This window comes from Homo sapiens, chromosome 7, assembly GCF_000001405.40.
Source record: "Homo sapiens chromosome 7, GRCh38.p14 Primary Assembly".
Lineage (NCBI taxonomy): Eukaryota > Metazoa > Chordata > Mammalia > Primates > Hominidae > Homo > Homo sapiens.
This window is the reverse complement of record NC_000007.14, coordinates 60,817,562-60,828,234: the sequence shown is the minus strand read 5'-3', so window position 1 is coordinate 60,828,234 and position 10,673 is coordinate 60,817,562. Positions and strand designations below refer to the sequence as shown.

Here is a 10,673-nt window from a genome sequence, read left to right as displayed (position 1 = left end):
TCCGTCTAGCAGTCAATGAAGAAATCCCGTTTCCAACGAAGGCCTCAAACAGGTCCATATATCCAATTGCAGACTTTACAAACAGTGTGTTTCCAAACTCCTCTATGAAAAGAAAGGTTAAACTCTGTGAGTTGAACGCACACATCACAAAGCACTTTCTGAGAATGATTCTGTCTGGTTATTATACGAAGATATTTCCTTTTCTGCAATTGTCCTCAAATCGCTTGAAATCTCCACCTGAAAATGCCACAGCAAGAGTGTTTCAAATCTGCTCTCTCTAAAGCAAGGTTCAACTCTGTGAGTTGAATACACACAACACAAAAAAGTTACTGAGAACTCTTCTTAGTCTAGCATGAAAGGAAGAAACCCCGTTTGCAACGAAGGCCTCAAAGAGGTCCAAATATCCACTTGCAGACATAACAAGCAGAGTGTTTCTAAACTGCTCTAAGAAAAGAAAGGTTAAACTCTGTGAGTTGAAGGCACACATCACAAAGTAGTTTCTGAGAATGATTCTTCCTAGTTTTTATTTGAAGATATTTCCTTTTCTACTGTTGGCATCAAATCGCTTGAAATCTCCACTTGCAAATTCCACAAAAAGAGTGTTTCAAATCTGCTCTGTGCAAAGGGACGTTCCACTCTGTGAGTTAAATACACACAGCACAAAGAAGTTACTGAGAATTCTTCTGTCTAGCATGAAATGGAGAAATCCCGTTTCCAACGAAGGCCTCAATGCGGTCCATATATCCACTTGCAGACTTTACAAACAGAGTGTTTCCAAACTGCTCTATGAAAAGAAAGGTTAAACTATGTGATTTGAACGCACACATCACAAAGAATTTTCTGAGAATGATTCTGTCTGGTTTTTATTTGAAGATATTTCCCTTTCTACTGTTGGCATCAAATGGCTAGAAATCTCCACTTGCAAATTCCGCAAAAAGAGTGTTTCAAATCTGCTCTGTCTAAAGGGACGTTCCACTCTGTGAGTTGAATGCACACAACACAAAGAATTTACTGAGAATTCTTCCGTCTAGCATTCAATGAAGAAATCCCGTTTCCAACGAAGGCCTCAAACAGGTCCATATATCCACTTGCAGACTTTACAAACAGTGTGTTTCCAAACTCCTCTATGAAAAGAAAGGTTAAACTCTGTGAGTGGAACGCACACATCACAAAGCACTTTCTGAGAATGATTCTGTCTGGTTATTATACGAAGATATTTCCTTTTCTGCAATTGTCCTCAAATCGCTTGAAATCTCCACCTGAAAATGCCACAGCAAGAGTGTTTCAAATCTGCTCTCTCTAAAGCAAGGTTCAACTCTGTGAGTTGAATACACACAACACAAAAAAGTTACTGAGAACTCTTCTTAGTCTAGCATGAAAGGAAGAAACCCCGTTTGCAACGAAGGCCTCAAAGAGGTCCAAATATCCACTTGCAGACATAACAAGCAGAGTGTTTCTAAACTGCTCTAAGAAAAGAAAGGTTAAACTCTGTGAGTTGAAGGCACACATCACAAAGTAGTTTCTGAGAATGATTCTGTCTAGTTTTTATTTGAAGATATTTCCTTTTCTACTGTTGGCATCAGATCGCTTGAAATCTCCACTTGCAAATTCCACAAAAAGAGTGTTTCAAATCTGCTCTGTGCAAAGGGACGTTCCACTCTGTGAGTTCAATACACACAGCACAAAGAAGTTACTGAGAATTCTTCTGTCTAGCATGAAATGAAGAAATCCCGTTTCCAACGAAGGCCTCAATGCGGTCCATATATCCACTTGCAGACTTTACAAACAGAGTGTTTCCAAACTGCTCTATGAAAAGAAAGGTTAAACTATGTGAGTTGAACGCACACATCACAAAGAATTTTCTGAGAATGATTCTGTCTGGTTTTTATTTGAAGATATTTCCCTTTCTACTGTTGGCATCAAATGGCTAGAAATCTCCACTTGCAAATTCCGCAAAAAGAGTGTTTCAAATCTGCTCTGTCTAAAGGGACGTTCCACTCTGTGAGTTGAATGCACACAACACAAAGAATTTACTGAGAATTCTTCCGTCTAGCATTCAATGAAGAAATCCCGTTTCCAACGGAGGCCTCAAACAGGTCCATATATCCAATTGCAGACTTTACAAACAGTGTGTTTCCAAACTCCTCTATGAAAAGAAAGGTTAAACTCTGTGAGTTGAACGCACATATCACAAAGCACTTTCTGAGAATGATTCTGTCTGGTTATTATACGAAGATATTTCCTTTTCTGCAATTGTCCTCAAATCGCTTGAAATCTCCACCTGAAAATGCCACAGCAAGAGTGTTTCAAATCTGCTCTCTCTAAAGCAAGGTTCAACTCTGTCAGTTGAATACACACAACACAAAAAAGTTACTGAGAATTCTTCTTAGTCTAGCATGAAAGGAAGAAACCCCGTTTGCAACGAAGGCCTCAAAGAGGTCCAAATATCCACTTGCAGACATAACAAGCAGAGTGTTTCTAAACTGCTCTAAGAAAAGAAAGGTTAAACTCTGTGAGTTGAAGGCACACATCACAAAGTAGTTTCTGAGAATGATTCTGTCTAGTTTTTATTTGAAGATATTTCCTTTTCTACTGTTGGCATCAAATCGCTTGAAATCTCCACTTGCAAACTCCACAAAAAGAGTGTTTCAAATCTGCTCTGTGCAAAGGGACGTTCCACTCTGTGAGTTGAATACACACAGCACAAAGAAGTTACTGAGAATTCTTCTGTCTAGCATGAAATGAAGAAATCCCGTTTCCAACGAAGGCCTCAATGCGGTCCATATATCCACTTGCAGACTTTACAAACAGAGTGTTTCCAAACTGCTCTATGAAAAGAAAGGTTAAACTATGTGAGTTGAACGCACACATCACAAAGAATTTTCTGAGAATGATTCTGTCTGGTTTTTATTTGAAGATATTTCCCTTTCTACTGTTGGCATCAAATGGCTAGAAATCTCCACTTGCAAATTCCGCAAAAAGAGTGTTTCAAATCTGCTCTGTCTAAAGGGACGTTCCACTCTGTGAGTTGAATGCACACAACACAAAGAATTTACTGAGAATTCTTCCGTCTAGCATTCAATGAAGAAATCCCGTTTCCAACGAAGGCCTCAAACAGGTCCATATATCCACTTGCAGACTTTACAAACAGTGTGTTTCCAAACTCCTCTATGAAAAGAAAGGTTAAACTCTGTGAGTGGAACGCACACATCACAAAGCACTTTCTGAGAATGATTCTGTCTGGTTATTATACGAAGATATTTCCTTTTCTGCAATTGTCCTCAAAACGCTTGAAATCTCCACCTGAAAATGCCACAGCAAGAGTGTTTCAAATCTGCTCTCTCTAAAGCAAGGTTCAACTCTGTGAGTTGAATACACACAACACAAAAAAGTTACTGAGAACTCTTCTTAGTCTAGCATGAAAGGAAGAAACCCCGTTTGCAACGAAGGCCTCAAAGAGGTCCAAATATCCACTTGCAGACATAACAAGCAGAGTGTTTCTAAACTGCTCTAAGAAAAGAAAGGTTAAACTCTGTGAGTTGAAGGCACACATCACAAAGTAGTTTCTGAGAATGATTCTGTCTAGTTTTTATTTGAAGATATTTCCTTTTCTACTGTTGGCATCAAATCGCTTGAAATCTCCACTTGCAAACTCCACAAAAAGAGTGTTTCAAATCTGCTCTGTGTAAAGGGACGTTCCACTCTGTGAGTTGAATACACACAGCACAAAGAAGTTACTGAGAATTCTTCTGTCTAGCATGAAATGAAGAAATCCCGTTTCCAACGAAGGCCTCAATGCGGTCCATATATCCACTTGCAGACTTTACAAACAGAGTGTTTCCAAACTGCTCTATGAAAAGAAAGGTTAAACTATGTGAGTTGAACGCACACATCACAAAGAATTTTCTGAGAATGATTCTGTCTGGTTTTTATTTGAAGATATTTCCCTTTCTACTGTTGGCATCAAATGGCTAGAAATCTCCACTTGCAAATTCCGCAAAAAGAGTGTTTCAAATCTGCTCTGTCTAAAGGGACGTTCCACTCTGTGAGTTGAATGCACACAACACAAAGAATTTACTGAGAATTCTTCCGTCTAGCATTCAATGAAGAAATCCCGTTTCCAAAGAAGGCCTCAAACAGGTCCATATATCCACTTGCAGACTTTACAAACAGTGTGTTTCCAAACTCCTCTATGGAAAGAAAGGTTAAACTCTGTGAGTTGAACGCACACATCACAAAGCACTTTCTGAGAATGATTCTCTCTGGTTATTATACGAAGATATTTCCTTTTCTGCAATTGTCCTCAAATCGCTTGAAATCTCCACCTGAAAATGCCACAGCAAGAGTGTTTCAAATCTGCTCTCTCTAAAGCAAGGTTCAACTCTGTGAGTTGAATACACACAACACAAAAAAGTTACTGAGAACTCTTCTTAGTCTAGCATTAAAGGAAGAAACCCCGTTTGCAACGAAGGCCTCAAAGAGGTCCAAATATCCACTTGCAGACATAACAAGCAGAGTGTTTCTAAACTGCTCTAAGAAAAGAAAGGTTAAACTCTGTGAGTTGAAGGCACACATCACAAAGTAGTTTCTGAGAATGATTCTCTCTAGTTTTTATTTGAAGATATTTCCTTTTCTACTGTTGGCATCAAATCGCTTGAAATCTCCACTTGCAAACTCCACAAAAAGAGTGTTTCAAATCTGCTCTGTGCAAAGGGACGTTCCACTCTGTGAGTTGAATACACGCAGCACAAAGAAGTTACTGAGAATTCTTCTGTCTAGCATGAAATGAAGAAATCCCGTTTCCAACGAAGGCCTCAATGCGGTCCATAGATCCACTTGCAGACTTTACAAACAGAGTGTTTCCAAACTGCTCTATGAAAAGAAAGGTTAAACTATGTGAGTTGAACGCACACATCACAAAGAATTTTCTGAGAATGATTCTGTCTGGTTTTTATTTGAAGATATTTCCCTTTCTACTGTTGGCATCAAATGGCTAGAAATCTCCACTTGCAAATTCCGCAAAAAGAGTGTTTCAAATCTGCTCTGTCTAAAGGGACGTTCCACTCTGTGAGTTGAATGCACACAACACAAAGAATTTACTGAGAATTCTTCCGTCTAGCATTCAATGAAGAAATCCCGTTTCCAACGAAGGCCTCAAACAGGTCCATATATCCACTTGCAGACTTTACAAACAGTGTGTTTCCAAACTCCTCTATGAAAAGAAAGGTTAAACTCTGTGAGTTGAACGCACACATCACAAAGCACTTTCTGAGAATGATTCTGTCTGGTTATTATACGAATATATTTCCTTTTCTGCAATTGTCCTCAAACCGCTTGAAATCTCCACCTGAAAATGCCACAGCAAGAGTGTTTCAAATCTGCTCTCTCTAAAGCAAGGTTCAACTCTGTGAGTTGAATACACACAACACAAAAAAGTTACTGAGAACTCTTCTTAGTCTAGCATGAAAGGAAGAAACCCCGTTTGCAACGAAGGCCTCAAAGAGGTCCAAATATCCACTTGCAGACATAACAAGCAGAGTGTTTCTAAACTGCTCTAAGAAAAGAAAGGTTAAACTCTGTGAGTTGAAGGCACACATCACAAAGTAGTTTCTGAGAATGATTCTGTCTAGTTTTTATTTGAAGATATTTCCTTTTCTACTGTTGGCATCAAATCGCTTGAAATCTCCACTTGCAAATTCCACAAAAAGAGTGTTTCAAATCTGCTCTCTGTAAAGAGACATTCCACTCTGTGAGTTGAATACACACAGCACAAAGAAGTTACTGAGAATTCTTCTGTCTAGCATGAAATGAAGAAATCCCGTTTCCAACGAAGGCCTCAATGCGGTCCATAGATCCACTTGCAGACTTTACAAACAGAGTGTTTCCAAACTGCTCTATGAAAAGAAAGGTTAAAGTATGTGAGTTGAACGCACACATCACAAAGAATTTTCTGAGAATGATTCTGTCTGGTTTTTATTTGAAGATATTTCCCTTTCTACTGTTGGCATCAAATGGCTAGAAATCTCCACTTGCAAATTCCGCAAAAAGAGTGTTTCAAATCTGCTCTGTCTAAAGGGACGTTCCACTCTGTGAGTTGAATGCACACAACACAAAGAATTTACTGAGAATTCTTCCGCCTAGCATTCAATGAAGAAATCCCGTTTCCAACGAAGGCCTCAAAGCGGTCCATATATCCACTTGCAGACTTTACAAACAGTGTGTTTCCAAACTCCTCTATGAAAAGAAAGGTTAAACTCTGTGAGTGGAACGCACACATCACAAAGCACTTTCTGAGAATGATTCTGTCTGGTTATTATACGAAGATATTTCCTTTTCTGCAATTGTCCTCAAATCGCTTGAAATCTCCACCTGAAAATTCCACAGCGAGAGTGTTTCAAATCTGCTCTCTCTAAAGCAAGGTTCAACTCTGTGAGTTGAATACACACAACACAAAAAAGTTACTGAGAACTCTTCTTAGTCTAGCATGAAAGGAAGAAACCCCGTTTGCAACGAAGGCCTCAAAGAGGTCCAAATATCCACTTGCAGACATAACAAGCAGAGTGTTTCTAAACTGCTCTAAGAAAAGAAAGGTTAAACTCTGTGAGTTGAAGGCACACATCACAAAGTAGTTTCTGAGAATGATTCTGTCTAGTTTTTATTTGAAGATATTTCCTTTTCTACTGTTGGCATCAAATCGCTTGAAATCTCCACTTGCAAATTCCACAAAAAGAGTGTTTCAAATCTGCTCTGTGTAAAGGGACGTTCCACTCTGTGAGTTGAATACACACAGCACAAAGAAGTTACTGAGAATTCTTCTGTCTAGCATGAAATGAAGAAATCCCGTTTCCAACGAAGGCCTCAATGCGGTCCATATATCCACTTGCAGACTTTACAAACAGAGTGTTTCCAAACTGCTCTATGAAAAGAAAGGTTAAACTATGTGAGTTGAACGCACACATCAAAAAGAATTTTCTGAGAATGATTCTGTCTGGTTTTTATTTGAAGATATTTCCCTTTCTACTGTTGGCATCAAATGGCTAGAAATCTCCACTTGCAAATTCCGCAAAAAGAGTGTTTCAAATCTGCTCTGTCTAAAGGGACGTTCCACTCTGTGAGTTGAATGCACACAACACAAAGAATTTACTGAGAATTCTTCCGTCTAGCATTCAATGAAGAAATCCCGTTTCCAACGAAGGCCTCAAACAGGTCCATATATCCAATTGCAGACTTTACAAACAGTGTGTTTCCAAACTCCTCTATGGAAAGAAAGGTTAAACTCTGTGAGTTGAACGCACACATCACAAAGCACTTTCTGAGAATGATTCTGTCTGGTTGTTATACGAAGATATTTCCTTTTCTGCAATTGTCCTCAAATCGCTTGAAATCTCCACCTGAAAATGTCACAGCAAGAGTGTTTCAAATCTGCTCTCTCTAAAGCAAGGTTCAACTCTGTGAGTTGAATACACACAACACAGAAAAGTTACTGAGAACTCTTCTTAGTCTAGCATGAAAGGAAGAAACCCCGTTTGCAACGAAGGCCTCAAAGAGGTCCAAATATCCACTTGCAGACATAACAAGCAGAGTGTTTCTAAACTGCTCTAAGAAAAGAAAGGTTAAACTCTGTGAGTTGAAGGCACACATCACAAAGTAGTTTCTGAGAATGATTCTGTCTAGTTTTTATTTGAAGATATTTCCTTTTCTACTGTTGGCATCAAATCGCTTGAAATCTCCACTTGCAAATTCCACAAAAAGAGTGTTTCAAATCTGCTCTGTGCAAAGGGACGTTCCACTCTGTGAGTTGAATACACACAGCACAAAGAAGTTACTGAGAATTCTTCTGTCTAGCATGAAATGAAGAAATCCCGTTTCCAACGAAGGCCTCAATGCGGTCCATATATCCACTTGCAGACTTTACAAACAGAGTGTTTCCAAACTGCTCTATGAAAAGAAAGGTTAAATTATGTGAGTTGAACGCACACATCACAAAGAATTTTCTGAGAATGATTCTGTCTGGTTTTTATTTGAAGATATTTCCCTTTCTACTGTTGGCATCAAATGGCTAGAAATCTCCACTTGCAAATTCCGCAAAAAGAGTGTTTCAAATCTGCTCTGTCTAAAGGGACGTTCCACTCTGTGAGTTGAATGCACACAACACAAAGAATTTACTGAGAATTCTTCCGTCTAGCATTCAATGAAGAAATCCCGTTTCCAACGAAGGCCTCAAACAGGTCCATATATCCACTTGCAGACTTTACAAACAGTGTGTTTCCAAACTCCTCTATGAAAAGAAAGGTTAAACTCTGTGAGTTGAACGCACACATCACAAAGCACTTTCTGAGAATGATTCTGTCTGGTTATTATACGAAGATATTTCCTTTTCTGCAATTGTCCTCAAATCGCTTGAAATCTCCACCTGAAAATGCCACAGCAAGAGTGTTTCAAATCTGCTCTCTCTAAAGCAAGGTTCAACTCTGTGAGTTGAATACACACAACACAAAAAAGTTACTGAGAACTCTTCTTAGTCTAGCATGAAAAGAAGAAACCCCGTTTGCAACGAAGGCCTCAAAGAGGTCAAAATATCCACTTGCAGACATAACAAGCAGAGTGTTTCTAAACTGCTCTAAGAAAAGAAAGGTTAAACTCTGTGAGTTGAAGGCACACATCACAAAGTAGTTTCTGGGAATGATTCTGTCTAGTTTTTATTTGAAGATATTTCCTTTTCTACTGTTGGCATCAAATCGCTTGAAATCTCCACTTGCAAACTCCACAAAAAGAGTGTTTCAAATCTGCTCTGTGTAAAGGGACGTTCCACTCTGTGAGTTGAATACACACAGCACAAAGAAGTTACTGAGAATTCTTCTGTCTAGCATGAAATGAAGAAATCCCGTTTCCAACGAAGGCCTCAATGCGGTCCATATATCCACTTGCAGACTTTACAAACAGAGTGTTTCCAAACTGCTCTATGAAAAGAAAGGTTAAACTATGTGAGTTGAACGCACACATCACAAAGAATTTTCTGAGAATGATTCTGTCTGGTTTTTATTTGAAGATATTTCCCTTTCTACTGTTGGCATCAAATGGCTAGAAATCTCCACTTGCAAATTCCGCAAAAAGAGTGTTTCAAATCTGCTCTGTCTAAAGGGACGTTCCACTCTGTGAGTTGAATGCACACAACACAAAGAATTTACTGAGAATTCTTCCGTCTAGCATGCAATGAAGAAATCCCGTTTCCAACGAAGGCCTCAAACAGGTCCATATATCCAATTGCAGACTTTACAAACAGTGTGTTTCCAAACTCCTCTATGAAAAGAAAGGTTAAACTCTGTGAGTTGAACGCACACATCACAAAGCACTTTCTGAGAATGATTCTGTCTGGTTATTATACGAAGATATTTCCTTTTCTGCAATTGTCCTCAAAACGCTTGAAATCTCCACCTGAAAATGCCACAGCAAGAGTGTTTCAAATCTGCTCTCTCTAAAGCAAGGTTCAACTCTGTGAGTTGAATACACACAACACAAAAAAGTTACTGAGAACTCTTCTTAGTCTAGCATTAAAGGAAGAAACCCCGTTTGCAACGAAGGCCTCAAAGAGGTCCAAATATCCACTTGCAGACATAACAAGCAGAGTGTTTCTAAACTGCTCTAAGAAAAGAAAGGTTAAACTCTGTGACTTGAAGGCACACATCACAAAGTAGTTTCTGAGAATGATTCTGTCTAGTTTTTATTTGAAGATATTTCCTTTTCTACTGTTGGCATCAAATCGCTTGAAATCTCCACTTGCAAACTCCACAAAAAGAGTGTTTCAAATCTGCTCTGTGCAAAGGGACGTTCCACTCTGTGAGTTGAATACACACAGCACAAAGAAGTTACTGAGAATTCTTCTGTCTAGCATGAAATGAAGAAATCCCGTTTCCAACGAAGGCCTCAATGCGGTCCATATATCCACTTGCAGACTTTACAAACAGAGTGTTTCCAAACTGCTCTATGAAAAGAAAGGTTAAACTATGTGAGTTGAACGCACACATCACAAAGAATTTTCTGAGAATGATTCTGTCTGGTTTTTATTTGAAGATATTTCCCTTTCTACTGTTGGCATCAAATGGCTAGAAATCTCCACTTGCAAATTCCGCAAAAAGAGTGTTTCAAATCTGCTCTGTCTAAAGGGACGTTCCACTCTGTGAGTTGAATGCACACAACACAAAGAATTTACTGAGAATTCTTCCGTCTAGCATTCAATGAAGAAATCCCGTTTCCAACGAAGGCCTCAAACAGGTCCATATATCCAATTGCAGACTTTACAAACAGTGTGTTTCCAAACTCCTCTATGAAAAGAAAGGTTAAACTCTGTGAGTTGAACGCACACATCACAAAGCACTTTCTGAGAATGATTCTGTCTGGTTATTATACGAAGATATTTCCTTTTCTGCAATTGTCCTCAAATCGCTTGAAATCTCCACCTGAAAATGCCACAGCAAGAGTGTTTCAAATCTGCTCTCTCTAAAGCAAGGTTCAACTCTGTGAGTTGAATACACACAACACAAAAAAGTTACTGAGAACTCTTCTTAGTCTAGCATGAAAGGAAGAAACCCCGTTTGCAACGAAGGCCTCAAAGAGGTCCAAATATCCACTTGCAGACATAACAAGCAGAGTGTTTCTAAACTGCTCTAAGAAAA

At 39.0% G+C, this 10,673-nt stretch overlaps 1 annotated feature.

Moving 5' to 3' along the window:
* Nucleotides 1-10,673: part of a centromere (Linear centromere model derived predominantly from reads generated in PMID: 17803354. This region does not represent an actual centromere sequence, as long-range ordering of repeats and unmapped WGS contigs is not provided by the model. For details of model production, see http://arxiv.org/abs/1307.0035.) that runs on past the window's edge.